This window comes from Homo sapiens, chromosome 6 (assembly GCF_000001405.40).
Source record: "Homo sapiens chromosome 6, GRCh38.p14 Primary Assembly".
NCBI classification, from domain to species: domain Eukaryota; kingdom Metazoa; phylum Chordata; class Mammalia; order Primates; family Hominidae; genus Homo; species Homo sapiens.
In genome coordinates, this window is record NC_000006.12 from 140,669,144 (window position 1) to 140,684,696 (window position 15,553).

Below are 15,553 nucleotides of genomic sequence, written 5' to 3' on the forward strand. Positions count from 1 at the left end.
TTCCAGTATAATTTTCCTGAAGAAAGAATGTGGGGAGACTAAGACAACTGGGAGACTCAGTAATTAATTAGGCAAAAACTGGGGACATTTCCAAACAGAATATTGTGTTTGTTTCCTATCGGCATTGTAGTCAAGAACCAAAATCTTAGTGGCTTAAAACAATACAGTCTCTTTCTCTTAAAGTTCCGGAGATCAGAAAGTCAAAATTAATTTCTCAGGGTTAAAATCAAGGTCTCAGTAAGGCTAGATCCTTCTGGAGGCTCTAGGGGAAAAAAATCCAATTTCTTGCTTTTTTTCAGCTTTTAGTGGCCATATGAATTCCTTGGCCTGTGGCCACTTTCTCTATCTTTAAAATGCATTCCTCCAATTTCTGCTTCTATCATGTCATTACACTGCATTTTTTGAAATTTGGCTCTTCCTAGATGGTTGTGATTACTCCAGGACCACAGGTTAATCCTGGATAGTCTCACCATCTCAAGATCCTTAAGTAAATCACATCTGCGAAGTTCCTTTTGAAATAGAAGGTAACATTTGCAAGTTCCAGGGGTTAGGGCAGGCACATATTTTAGGACCGTTATTCAGTCTACCACACACACTTTGGCAGATAAAGACATACAGAGAATTCTAGATTTCTAGAAAAGGTGAGTTTGGGATGCAATTTGATGAATCTGAAGAGGTAGGTGGTTACTGCCTACGTTCTTCTTAAAGTGAAAATCTCTAACCACAAGTTGAAAGATTCATTTCCCTCAGTAGGAAATGAAGCACACCAAAGGCAACATTAGTATCATACAGACATGATTTTTCAAATGTCTTCACCTTAATAATGGACTAAAACATATATAAAAGTACAGTTTGAATCTTTTCAAGGTTTGTTGATGATTGAGCTCTGCAATTATAAACTCATATATTTAATTCCAATGCCTCTTGTGTTTATGTTTTTGGCTTTGTGGTACACATTTAATTAACAAAAATTCAATGGAACTTAAAACATAAATGATGTTCCTGCCAAATGAAGATTAAATTATATCGTGGCTAGTTGAACAAAGGAACTTTTACACAGAGAAATGTGTTCATAAAGTTGAGTCATCACATGGCACATGGTGTATGTAATAGAGATATAATGTGCTCAGCAAAAGCACACTGCAGTTAATCAGCTTATTTAGCTCTGTATGCTCATTGTGAGCAGCTATTTCATTTAAGAAACACTTCCTCATTTTTATATTAACATAACTTATTTGAATTCCTTTAATTTTGCCCATTCATTTTAGATAAAGTTGTATAAAAGCAGTAAGAATAAGAATATCATAAAATTATTCATGTTTGTACCATTCAACTGTGGGTTAGTAAAATAGTCACTATCTGAGCTTTATGAAACTTTTTCTAAGTTTTAAAAGTGGTATGTTACTCAAGTTTAAGAAAATTATAGTAGTAAATGCTTACATTAGAAAAAAGAAATCTCAAAAAAATAAGATCAAAATATACCCAAACTAAGTAGAAGGAAGAAAATATAGACGATAGTAGGAACTAAAAGAATAAGCTCCAAAACCTGACTGCCTAGTGTTGATTTTTCCCAGTTCTGCCATCTGTAATTTCTAAGACCTTGGGCGAAGTACTGAATCCTTCTGCTGTGGTTTGAATGTTTTTGTCTCCTCCAAAATTCATGTTGAAACATAATTCTCAGTGCAACAAGAGGTGTGCCCTTTAAGAGGTGATTGAGTCAAGAGGGTTCCCCATTCATGACTAGGATTAGCATTTTTATAAAAGGACTTGACAGAGGGAGTTTGACTCTTTTTGTCCCTTCTGTTTTTATTATTATTATTATTTTATTTTATTTTAGGAGGTGAGGACAAAGTGATTCTCCCTTCTGGAGGATGCAGCAAAGTGCTGCCTGCCATCTTGGAAGCACAGAGTAGCCTTCACCACACTCTAATCCCATCAGAGCCTTGATCTTGGACTTGCCAGCCTTCAGAACAGTAAGAAAATACACCTGTTATACATTTCTCAGTCTCAGATATTTTGATATAGCAGGGCAAATGGACTTAGACACCCATTCTCCATGTCTCAATTTCTCAATTTCCTCAATTTTCTCATACTCAAATAGAGTAAATAATAGTGCCTACCTTGCAGGGTTGTTATGAAAATTAAGTGGAAAGTTTTAAGAAACTTAAAACACTTAGAAATTAAATGAAAAATGCTTTGAACAATGTTCGACACATAATAAGCTGGATCAGATTAGGGCAATCATATGTTCCAGTTTGCCCAGCATAGTCCCAGCTTATAACTTATTGTGGAGTTTTCATTTTTCAATGAAGTAGTAGTATTTATAGTTGCATCAAAATAGGTCTAAGTTGCCTCATCTAGGAGTCTGAAAGACATGTTTAGTGAATAGAACTTTACTTTTACATATGGAAGAACACCAATGATTCAGCTCTGTTTTGTTTTGTTTATTTTCATTGAATAGTAACTAACATCTTACCCTCAAAGACAAAATATGGTGTACTCTGTGATAAAACAAAGTATCCAACAATGCCACACCAGCCAGCCACTTGGTACACTAGTTAGGTATATCATGGACCATGACAAACATTGTGAAATATAGTAAACTGTTAGACTACAAGTGAGAGGATTCAATAGCAAATATTAAAATTATATGCTGGCATAATAGAATATGTGTAGGAAAGAAAAGGTGGGCTATCCTATATTAAAACATAAGATATAGTATAAACTCTCTTGCTATCACAGTGTTATTATGAACACTAATATGGTTTGGCTTTGTGTCCCCACACAAATCCCACCTAGAATTGTAATCCCCACATATCAGGGGAGGGGCCTGGTGGTAGGTGATTAAATCATGGGGGCAGACTTCTCTCTTGCTGTTCTCATGTTAGTGAGTGAGTTCTCAGAAGATTTGGTTGTTTGATAGTGTGTGGCACTTCCCCCTTGCTCTCTCTCTCTACTGCCACCAAGTGAGGAAGACATGCTTATTTCCTTTCTGCCTTCTTCCATGATTGTAACTTTCCTGAGGTCTCCTAGTCATGCTTCCTGTGAAACTGTGAGTCAATTACGTATCGTCTCTTTATAAATTACCCAGTCTCAGGGAAAACTACCCTAAGGCAAACATTATATGAAAGATAATACATTATGTTCAAAGCTTCAAAGTTATATTTAACATTAAAAATTTCATTAATGTGTTGTCAGTTGGTGATAATCACAGAAACTATGTGTGAAAATTCAACATTTAGTCATAACAAAACCAATTATCAATTTAGGAATAGAAAATTCCTTAATGTTACAAAGTTATCTATAAAAAATGAATGTAGCACATAAATTTGTAATATAAATGCATTGAAGGCATTCAGAAGCTAGACAAACTTGCATATTGCCTTTCTTTTCAACATTATACTCAATGTGTAAGGCAGCTTTTGGCAAGAAGAACAAATAAAGCTAAAATAGAATATGGTCATTATATAAAGATATAATTATCTATATAGAAAAACCAAAATAAATGGCTGATGTATTATTTCAAGTAGTCAGTGAAATTTAGCAAAATTTTCAAAACTGTGACATAAGTCATAGTACAAAAATCAATTTCATTTATATACTCCTGCCTCAATCAAGTAGAAAGCATCATTGTGAAAATAATATACAATAGGATAACAAGTGTAGCTCTCATTTTTACCCTAAGTTATTTATAAATCCAAATGAATTCCAATTAATATCTCCACATAATTATTTTTCTGTCACTTTCTCTGTTCCTTTTAGAGAGTGAAACATAAGGGGATGATTCTAAATTGATACGGAACAGCAACCAAACCCTCCTAAAGAAGAAAGACCTGGGGATGGAGGGGTGGGATTTACCTTACTAGTTATCAACAATTATTATAAAGCTGTATTTAATAACACAATAGGGTATTGATATCGATAGAAAAATTGAGTGAAGGGAAAGACCTACCTGCACATTGACACTTGATTTATAACAGAGTTTCACTCAAGAGCAATTGAAAAGAATAGACTTTCAAGAAATTCTGTCATACATTGGTTATCTATATGAAGAAAATAAAAAATGTGTCTCCTGATGCATAGTAGATACATGTTTATGGTGAATTGTCTAGGAATGGAGAATATGGCAGATGTTCACAAAGAAGGAGATACAGTTCTTTGACCTACACTCCCAAGAAATTGAGTAGTGCCTAAGTATGAATATTTGAAAATATTTGTTTGGAAATTAGAGAAAGAACAAGCTTCATGATGTTAGGGTAAAATCACCTATTTAAGAGCCTTATAAACATTTTATACTATTTTAATTTTTTTGAAGTTAAGTGTTAGTGCTTTACTTTGGTACCCTCTATGAGTTTGCTAATATCTTGGACAAAAGAAAAAAGTAGCCTTTCTATTTTTTAGAGATGAACTTCATTGTAATTGTTATGTACTATTTTAGGTACTGAAAAGACTGAAAGTGACAAAGAATAGATATCTACAGTTTTTGTCTGTTTCTTTGTTTTTTGTTTTTGAGATCGGTTCTCACTCTGTCACTCAGGCAGGAGTGCAGTGGTGTGATCACAGCTCCCTCAACCTCCAGGGCTCAAGTGATTCTCCCACTTCAGCCTCTTTAGTAGCTGGAACTACAGATGTGCATCACCACACCTGCGAATTTTTTGTACTTTTTTTTTTGTAGGGACAGGGTTTCACCATGTTGCCTAGGTTGGTCTCAAATTCCTGGGTAATCTGCCTACCTTGGCCTCTCAAAGTGCTGGGATTACAGGCGTGAGCCACAGCACCCAGCATGATAGCTCCAGTTTTTATTGAGCTTATTCAAAAACGTAATCATAATAACTACAGGTAAAATTCAAATACAATTTAGTTTTGATATCTAGATGGCATTCTTTTGTGAATATCTGTAAAAACATGTTTGTGTCTGTATGTGCATTTATTTTCGGAGTCTTAAAAGCATCTATGCGTCAATGTGATAGCACAAAAAAACTGCCAAATATTCACTGATAACACTGCATTAATTGAGCACTAGTCCGGCTTGTGTAAAACGGCTGGTGGTATTCTGTAATCACCAGTACAGTCTTCCCTCTAGAAAGTCAAATTCAATGACATTCTGTACATACTGCAGTTTTAAAAGTATCATTCCACTCTTAAGACATTAAAAACTGCATTATAAACATTCATAGTTGTGATGTGACTTCAGTCTGGAAGGACAAATGTACAAATGTATTCTTAGATTTACTCAAATGTTTACGTATCATTTTATAATGACTAGAATGGACTATAGTAGGTCCCTTGACTCTGTGGCTGCCTTAAATGGACAATTTCTAAATTATTTTAACATTCCAAAGGATTCTTTGGCTTTTGAACTATCCATCTAATTTACTTCTAAAATGAGAACTTGAGACAACTCAGTGTGTCCAGGCAAATCTTTGTATCTATTTATGTTTGTATGCATGCACACATCTTAACATCTGTATCTGTTGAATATCAGTTCTTTATGTTTTACTATTACTGTTTCTACTGTCTGTTTCTTTTCTTTCTTTCTTTCTTTTTTTAGTTAATACGGGATAAAGTGAGCCCTGGAAATACGTGTTAGGCCACAAAATACACAGAAGTATATAGCGGTTCAAGTTCATGAAGGCTTGTTCTGTGCCTCACTTTATGGTGTTTTTCTGAGTGTAAAAAAAGAACAAATCATAGTTCTTTATTCCTTCCTGCCCAAAATAAGTAAATAAATAAAGCAATATGAGATGGCAAGATAATACCTTTGTAAGTTCACATAGAGAAGAATTCCTTAAGCCTGTTATCACTGATTACTTCAAGTACATTAAGAGTAAACCACTTGGCCGGGCTTGGTGGTTCATGCCTGCAATCCCAGCACTTTGGGAGGCCGAGGCGGGCGGATCACGAGTTCAGAAGATCGAGAACATCCTGGCTAACACGGTGAAACCCCGTCTCTACTGAAAATACAAAAAGTTAGCCGGGCGTGGTGACAGGCGCCTATAGTCCCAGCTACTCCAGAGGCTGAGGCAGGAGAATGGCGTGAAGCTGGGAGGCGGAGCTTGCAGTGAGCGGAGATCGCGCCACTGCACTCCAGCCTGGGAGACAGAGTGAGACTCCATCTCAAAAAAACAAAAAAAGAATAAACCAGTTAATGGTAATGAAAACAAAAGTTACAAACTGGAGAAAATACATACAACACACAGAAGCGATCAATGTAAGTATTCAGAATGAATGAATAACTGAGCTGAATCATGTAAAAAGACATCTGATAAAAATAACAAAATGGATATATAGGCAGTTCACATGGTAGGAAAACCAAATAATCAATAAGCATGTGAGAAGATGTCCAATCTTAATTTGTTGCCAGGAACACATAAATTCATAACATGATATATACCATTTTGTGCATACTAGACTGGCCAACACAAATGGTCTGGCAACACCAAGTGTTGGTGAGGATACAGAGTAAGGAGAGCACAGAGGCACTGCTGTTGGAAGTGGATATCAGTGAACGACTTAAAAAAATTTTGACTTCAGAGTCATGCACCTAATAACCATGTTTCAGTCAACCACAGGCAGCATATAGGATGGGGGTCCTGTAAGTTTACAATGAAACTGAAAACTTCCCACCCCCTAGTGATGTAGCCATTCAAGTGTGGTGCAATGCATTAGTTACATTTGTGGTGATGCTGTTGTAAACAAACCTACTGCACTGCCAATTTAATAAAAGTGTAGCACATACAATTATGTACAGTACATAGTACTTGAAAATGATAAGTGACTATGTTACTGGTTTATTTATTTAATATACTATAATTTTTATCATTATTTTATAGCATACTCCTGTTATTTTTTAAAGAAACTTAACTGTAAAACAGCCTCAGGCAGGTCCTCCAGGAGATATTTCAGAAAGCATTATTGTCATAGGAGACAGCAGCTCCCTACATGATAAGACTTTCCAGTGGGACAAAAAGTGAAGGTGGAAGACAGTGATATTGATGACCCTGACTCTGCATAGGCCTAGGATAATGTGTGTGTTTTTGTCTTAGTTTTTAACCAGAAAGTTTAAAAAGTAGAAGCAAAAAACGGAAAGATATGAAAAATCTTATAAAAATATAAAGAAAAAATACTGTTTGTACAGCTGTATGTTTGTGTTTTAAACTATTACAAAAGTCAAAAGTGTTAAAAATTAAAAAGTTTATAAAGTAAAAAAGTTACAGTAAGCTAAATTTATTATTAAAGAAACGTTAAAATAAATGTAGTGTAGCTTAAGTGTACAGTGTTTATAAAGTCTGCTGTAGTGTACCACAATGCCCTATACCTTCACATTTACTTACTACTAACTCACTAACACCCAGAGCAACTTCCAGTCCTGTAAGCTTTCTTCTTGGTAACTGCCCTATGTATGTGTACAATTTTTCATCTTCTATACCATACTTTTTAGTGTACTGTTTCTTGTTTTTTGTTTGTTTGTTTGTTTGAGATGGAGTCTCGCTCTGTTGCCAGGCTGGAGTGCAGTGGCACAATCTCAGCTTACTGCAACCTCCGCCTCCCGGGTTCAAGTGGTTCTCCTGCCTCAGCCTCCCAAGTAGCTGGGACTACAGGCGCGTGCCACCATGCCCAGCTAATTTTTGTATTTTTAGTGGAGATGGAGTTTTACCATGTTGGCCAGGATGGTCTCGATCTCTTGACCTTGTGATCCGCCCGCCTTGGCCTCCCAAAGTGCTGGGATTACAGGCGTGAGCCACCGCACCTGGCCTGCTGTACTTTTTCTATGTTTAGATACACTAATACCTGTCATTGGGTTACAGTTGCCTACAGTATTGAGTACAGTAACATGCTGTACAAGTTTGTAGCCTAGGGGCAGTAGGCTATACCATATAGTCTTCATGTGTGATTCGCCATACCGTTTAGGGTTGTGCGATAAACTCTATGATGTTCCCACAACTAATGACCCATTTCTCAGAACGTATCCTTGTCAATGAATACTACATGACTGTATATAGAATATTTGAAGATATTAATACTCTATGATCCAAGAATTCCACTCCTGTGCATGTCCACCAGGAGATAAGTGGAAGAATATTCTTAGTAGCCTATGCAATAGCAAAACTTTGAAAACAATCAAAATACTCATCAATGTTAGAATAAAAATATATTACAGTAAAATCATGTTAGAAGATAGATATGTATTCATGCAATGATGTAAATGAATATTGAGAATATAAAAGATGAAAAAAATAAATTGTAGCAGAATATCTGTTCAAAATTTATTTCTTTACAATTCAAAACAAAGTGACATTTTGCTTAGAAGTTTGAAATTTTATAGTAAAAGCAACCAAAAGGAAATGGAGAAAATAAAGTTTGGGTTACTAGATTGGGAAGAAAAGAAATTGGTAAGGGCACACAAGAATCTACAGTGTGAGACTTTTTTTTTTTTTTAACATTTATCTCAATACTACTGCACGTAGGTGTTCAGGCTATCGTTATTCTTTATACCTGACAACAGATAGTTTATAAATATTACATTGAATCTGCTCACTATTTAATAAATTCTTAAAATATTTATTCTTCAAAACCTATTTTAAGCATTAAAAGAAAATAATACCCCTTTCAATATTCTGCCATAGAAACAGGCAAGCTCTTGCCTGTTCAGATTTCTTGAATGCGGAATCCCATTTGACTTTTGCATACCCTTGATAGATCTCAGAGTATATCTAAGGCATTGTGTTTATTTTAACAATGTCAAACAATTAAAAGAATTCTCACAGATAAAGCTCTTCTTTCACTTAGCAATTTATTCAACTATCCAGTATGTACTATTTTTAAGTTCCTTCTGTATGCTAAGCATGAGGAAGGTTAATGCCCTCTCACTGTTTACAATTTTAGTAGCAGTCATAAGACTAGTCCAAGACAGCTCTTTTGCAAGGCAGTATGAACAGAGCGCTGCCTGAGGAGCAAAAATGCAGGTGCTTTAAGAGTTGAAAGGTGGAAGAATGATTGCTGGAGTAATCATGCAGTTGTTTCAATACTGTTGCTGCCCGGGGAACTTTATATGCAAATTTCTAGGGTTAGGATCAAGAACTTGGAAGAAGGTCTCAGGAAGGAAATTGAATGTCATAATAAGAAAATGAGTGGAAGTGAGACTTCTTTTAAACAACAGCTGTCAGATTCTCTCTGGTGAAGCAAAACACTGCCTGAGACAGATGGGATGATGTCCATCATCTCAACTATGAGTTTAATTTAGATTGACATTCTGACCCCATTTAACTATGCAGGCTTTGGTAATGTGTCCTAAGTTCAGGCACGGCACGCAAGATGCTGTGTATTGTACTAACATAAGGTGGTGAAATTGTTTATGCATGTGTTTGTGGGGGTTGGTGGCAGTGTGTACACATATGTGTATGTATGCATGTCTGTGTTTGTGTGATAAATGAAGTATGGAAGTAGCTAGGAGTATGAAACGAGAGTGGGACTCTCCTTACAGGCAGCGCTTATCAAATAAAAATGCGACAAGCACACACTGGGCTAAACAATACTTTTTCGTTCTAATCTTTCCCTTGGGGAAGATCAACTCCTAAGTAGTTGATTTCCTGATATACTGATCAAACCCTAAGCGTTTGCCTAATCTGTAGACCTTCATATCAAATTTCCTGCTGGAGAGCTCCATATGGTTTACCAATAGACATTTCACACTCCACATGTTCAAAAAAAAGTCCTCACCTGTTTATTTTTATTTTTATTTAGACAGAGTCTTGCTCTGTCGCCCAGGCTGGAGTGCTGTGGCACGATCTCAGCTCAGGGCAACTTCCGCCTCCTGGGTTCAAGCAATACTCCTGCCTCAGCCTTCTGAGTAGCTGGGATTACAGGTGCCCGCCACCTCACCCAGCTAATTGTTTTGTATTTTTAGTAGAGACGGGGTTTCACCATGTTGGCGAGGCTGGTTTCAAACTCCTGACCTTAAGTGATCTGCCCGCCTTGGCCTCCCAAAGTGCTAGGATTACAGGCTTGAGCGACTGCATCCGGCCCTGTTTTTTTTTTTTTTTTTCCTTTTTGAGACGGAGTCTCACTCTGTCGCCCAGGCTGGAGTGCAGTGGCGCGATCTCGGCTCACTGAAAGCTCCGCCTCCCGGGTTCACGCCATTCTCCTGCCTCAGCCTCCCGAGTAGCTGGGACTACAGGCGCCCGCCAAGACGCCCGGCTAATTTTTTCTACTTTTTAGTAGAGACGGAGTTTCACCGTGTTAGCCAGGATGGTCTCGGTCTTCTGACCTCGTGACCCACCCACCTCGGTCTCGCAAAGTGCTGGGATTACAGGCGTGAGCCACCGTGCCCGGCCAGTTTTTAAATTTGACTTCACTCACCTCAAAAAATTAATGCCAGTGTCATTAATGCCAGTTCATCAGTTTCTTCAGTTGCTCATCCTTGAAACACAGAGACATCTGCAACAACTTGTTTTCACTCAATACTTAGGACTAGTTACTGAATTATACCATTTGCCTCTGTAACTTCTTCATCATTCATCTTGTCCTTGGTATTTTCATTGACGCTGCATGGCTTTATGTTCTCATGATTTTTCTCATTTTATGTATAGTGTCCCATTTTCCTACACCTCTATCTTTTCATCCAATCTCCTTCACATCTCTCCAAGATATTTTGTCTAAAAACTCTTTGGGAGGCCAAGGCAGGTGGATCATGAAGTCAAGAGTTTGAGACCATCCTGGCCAACATGGTGAAACCCCGGCTCTACTAAAAATACAAAAAGTAGCCGGGCGTGGTGGCGGGCGCCTGTAGTCCCAGCTACTCAGGAGGCTGAGGCAGGAGAATCGCTTGAACCCTGGAGGTGAAGGTTGCAGTGAACAGAGATTGCGCCACTGCACTCTGGCCTTGGTTACAGAGCAAGACTCTTTCTCAAGAAAAAAAAAAAAAAAAAAGTAAACCAAACTATATTTTACTCCTGCAGAAAATCCTTCAATAAAAGTATATGGCTCTCAAATTAAATACCTGGCACTTTCCCTTACACTCAAGGCCATCCAGTATAGCCTACTCTAAATTTCCTTTTGTCAAGTTTTCTACTCTGTAGTTCAACTGTTTAATTTATAAATATAAAGAATATTCTATACGTTGCCATCTCTGATTTTGTCCATGTTCCTTCTATGTGGAATTCCTTCATCTCATACTTATCTGTCAAAGTCCCATGCATACCTCAAACGGTCCTTTTATAAAGGCTTTATTTTTTCTAGGTCACAAAGCCATACATTCCCTATTTTTAAAATGTTTCTTTTTTTTTTTTGTATTTTTTATTGGCGACTTAACTATTCTCAACTTCTCCATATGTCAGGCATAAAATGAGACAGAAATTGAAAAGATAAATATGACAGAGTCATACACACATATGTGTCATCAGTATTAGATGTATTACTTCAGTATAAAACAGTCAGACATCATAGTTACACATAAAAGATTAGCTTATTTTGAAATAATAGTAGTATCAGTGAGGCCATGATACTCTCTTTTAGTCTAGGATTACATTTCTTTAAATCTTTCTCCTGAAAAATTTTAATACTTCTATTTATTTTTAACCTTCTCTCTCTGTCTCTCTCTCTATATATATCTAAATAAAATATATATATGTGTGTATGTGTGTGTCTGTGTATGTGTGTATATGTGTATATATAGGTGTATCTATATAGAGATACAGATATAATATCTAATAATACACACACAACGCTTCAGACATTTTATTATTATTATAGTGTCTAATATTACACACATATATCTCTCTATATAGATATATATTCTCTATATCTCTATAGATATAGAGAATATATATTCTCTATATATCTCTATAGATATAGAGAATATATATTCTCTATATATCTCTATAGATATAGAAAATATATATTCTCTATATATCTCTATAGATATAGAGAATATATATTCTCTACATCTATCTCTATAGATATAGAGAATATATATTCTCTACATCTATCTCTATAGATATAGAGAATATATATTCTCTACATCTATCTCTATAGATATAGAGAATATATATTCTCTACATCTATCTCTATAGATATAGAGAATATATATTCTCTACATCTATCTCTATAGATATAGAGAATATATATTCTCTACATCTATCTCTATAGATATAGAGAATATATATTCTCTACATCTATCTCTATAGATATAGAGATATATATTCTCTATATATATCTCTATATCTATAGAGATATATATTCTCTATATATATCTCTATATCTATAGAGATATATATTCTCTATATATATCTCTATATCTGTAGAGATATATATTCTCTATATATATCTCTATATCTGTAGAGATATATATTCTCTATATATATCTCTATATCTGTAGAGATATATATTCTCTATATCTCTCTATATCTGTAGAGATATATATTCTCTATATATCTCTCTATATCTGTAGAGATATATATTCTCTATATATCTCTCTATATCTGTAGAGATATATGTTCTCTATATATCTCTCTATATCTGTAGAGATATATGTTCTCTATATATCTCTCTATATCTGTAGAGATATATGTTCTCTATATATCTCTCTATATCTGTAGAGATATATGTTCTCTATATATCTCTCTATATCTGTAGAGATATATGTTCTCTACATATCTCTATATCTATAGAGATATATGTTCTCTACATATCTCTATATCTATAGAGATATATGTTCTCTACATAACTCTATATCTATAGAGATATATGTTCTCTACATATCTCTATATCTATAGAGATATATGTTCTCTACATATCTCTATATCTATAGAGATATATGTTCTCTACATATCTCTATATCTATAGAGATATATGTTCTCTACATATCTCTATATCTATAGAGATATATGTTCTCTACATATCTCTATAGATATAGAGATATATGTTCTCTACATATCTCTATAGATATAGAGATATATGTTCTCTACATATCTCTATAGATATAGAGATATATGTTCTCTACATATCTCTATAGATATAGAGATATATGTTCTCTACATATCTCTATAGATATAGAGATATATGTTCTCTACATATCTCTATAGATATAGAGATATATGTTCTCTACATATCTCTATAGATATAGAGATATATGTTCTCTACATATCTCTATAGATATAGAGATATATGTTCTCTACATATCTCTATAGATATAGAGCTATATGTTCTCTACATATCTCTATAGATATAGAGCTATATGTTCTCTACATATCTCTATAGATATAGAGCTATATGTTCTCTACATATCTCTATAGATATAGAGCTATATGTTCTCTACATATCTCTATAGATATAGAGCTATATGTTCTCTACATATCTCTATAGATATAGAGCTATATGTTCTCTACATATCTCTATAGATATAGAGCTATATGTTCTCTACATATCTCTATCGATATAGAGCTATATGTTCTCTACATATCTCTATCGATATAGAGCTATATGTTCTCTACATATCTCTATCGATATAGAGCTATATGTTCTCTACATATCTCTATCGATATAGAGCTATATGTTCTCTACATATCTCTATCGATATAGAGCTATATGTTCTCTACATATCTCTATCGATATAGAGCTATATGTTCTCTACATATCTCTATCGATATAGAGCTATATGTTCTCTACATATCTCTATCGATATAGAGATATATGTTCTCTACATATCTCTATCGATATAGAGATATATGTTCTCTACATATCTCTATCGATATAGAGATATATGTTCTCTACATATCTCTATCGATATAGAGATATATGTTCTCTACATATCTCTATCGATATAGAGATATATGTTCTCTACATATCTCTATCGATATAGAGATATATGTTCTCTACATATCTCTATCGATATAGAGATATATGTTCTCTACATATCTCTATCGATATAGAGATATATGTTCTCTACATATCTCTATCGATATAGAGATATATGTTCTCTACATATCTCTATCGATATAGAGATATATGTTCTCTACATATCTCTATCGATATAGAGATATATGTTCTCTACATATCTCTATCGATATAGAGATATATGTTCTCTACATATCTCTATAGATATAGAGATATATGTTCTCTATATATCTCTATAGATATATGTTATCTATATAAATATATATTCTCTCTATATATAATTACATACACACATATATATGTATGTAATATTAGACAAAATCTCTAATAGCAAGACAAACATGCAACCCTTCCGACATTTTATTGTTATTAGATATAGTGTCTAATATTACACATATGGCACAAGCCTAGAAGAAAGCAATAGTAATAGATCATTTATCTGTGTTAATTAAAGAGGTAAAATCGTTATCTAGCAAAATATGTTGAATTTAACAAACTGCATCCAGAAAAAATTCTCTAGTTTTACCATTTCTAGAAGAGGATGCAATTTTTGTTCTTTTAAGTTTTGTTCTATGTGTGTGGGGTTGGGAAGGGAATGGGGGTGAAGGCGTGGCTGAGAGAATAAAAGCCTTGAGAAAAGAGGGCTTGCCTTGCTCCTTATGCTGGAGAGATGTCCAGGAGGTACCACGGTTGGTAGTGCTGCCTACAAAGGATGTTACAGTTGAATTTGTCAAGTTCGTTTCTTAGACAGCCCTGCTCTGGTCTAGCCCAAGCTCTCATGTGTCCCCTGGCACGCTATTTGAGGTTTACTATGGAACCTCAAGTAGTCTGACCAGGGGACACATGAGAGCTTTTCATTGATTGCATTCCCACAAGCATATTTCCGTCACAAGTGGGGCATGTATCTCTTGTTTGGTTTGTTTTTAGTTTCAATAGCATATAACTTGCTTATTTCGCTTCTATGGATACTACCTGTGCCACTAAATAGGTCCCCTTAAACCTCTTGCAAAAAAGAAGGAAGTATTATTTACTCTACTTTTCTCTTTTAACCCTGAAATGAACATACACATTGTTAAAAATATTTATGGCATTTTATTGCTACTAATTATGAAAAAAAAAAGAAACAGCAGGAAACACAAAAGAGCAAATGTCGGTCTACATTTAAAGCAACCATAATGAGGACTCTCCCAGTGTTTTTTCAACTTCCTTAATCTATGGACCATTTTCAGCTAAAAAATAATTAATGATAAGTACACTTTAATTCTAAGTATCAATTTTTATAATATCAGCTAAAAACATACCAACAAAACTTATATATGTTTTGATATAATTGTATAAAATAAAATTTTTATGTAAAATAAGATATAAACTTATTTTACTTATAGCTCTGAAATCTATTAAATTTCATTTTCAAATAAAATACTAAAGCTTCCTACCAAATCACTAAAATTCAAATTAACAACATTAATTTAATATGCCATAGATTATAATTTTTATAAAAAAATACAATTACCAATGAAATTAAAACTATGAAGCAATACTTTCTCACTTTTGTCATTCTTATTTTGACCCTTATTTAAATTATAGTAGTTATCGTTGCCTTTATTTTTGCCTTTAAAAAACTCAAAATTTTAACTATCAGGGAATTATTTTGAAGATC

The 15,553-nt window shown here is 34.5% G+C and overlaps 1 long non-coding RNA gene and 1 other non-coding gene across 6 annotated transcripts in view; both read left to right on the plus strand.

Annotated features, from left to right (window-relative positions):
• Nucleotides 1-15,553, plus strand: part of LOC105378027 (uncharacterized) — a 246,946-nt gene that overhangs the window by 130,654 nt on the left and 100,739 nt on the right. For 4 of the 5 annotated variants that reach the window (XR_001744387.3, XR_001744385.2, XR_001744388.2 and 1 more), the window contains one exon: nt 1,838-1,973. The exons of the other annotated variant lie outside the window; for it this stretch is intronic. This is a non-coding gene — a long non-coding RNA (uncharacterized LOC105378027). The remainder of the gene's footprint in view (nt 1-1,837; nt 1,974-15,553) is intronic. 5 annotated transcript variants of the gene reach the window in all.
• Nucleotides 14,671-14,740, plus strand: MIR4465 (microRNA 4465). The gene has a single exon (NR_039675.1). It is a non-coding gene; the product is annotated as a microRNA 4465 (primary transcript).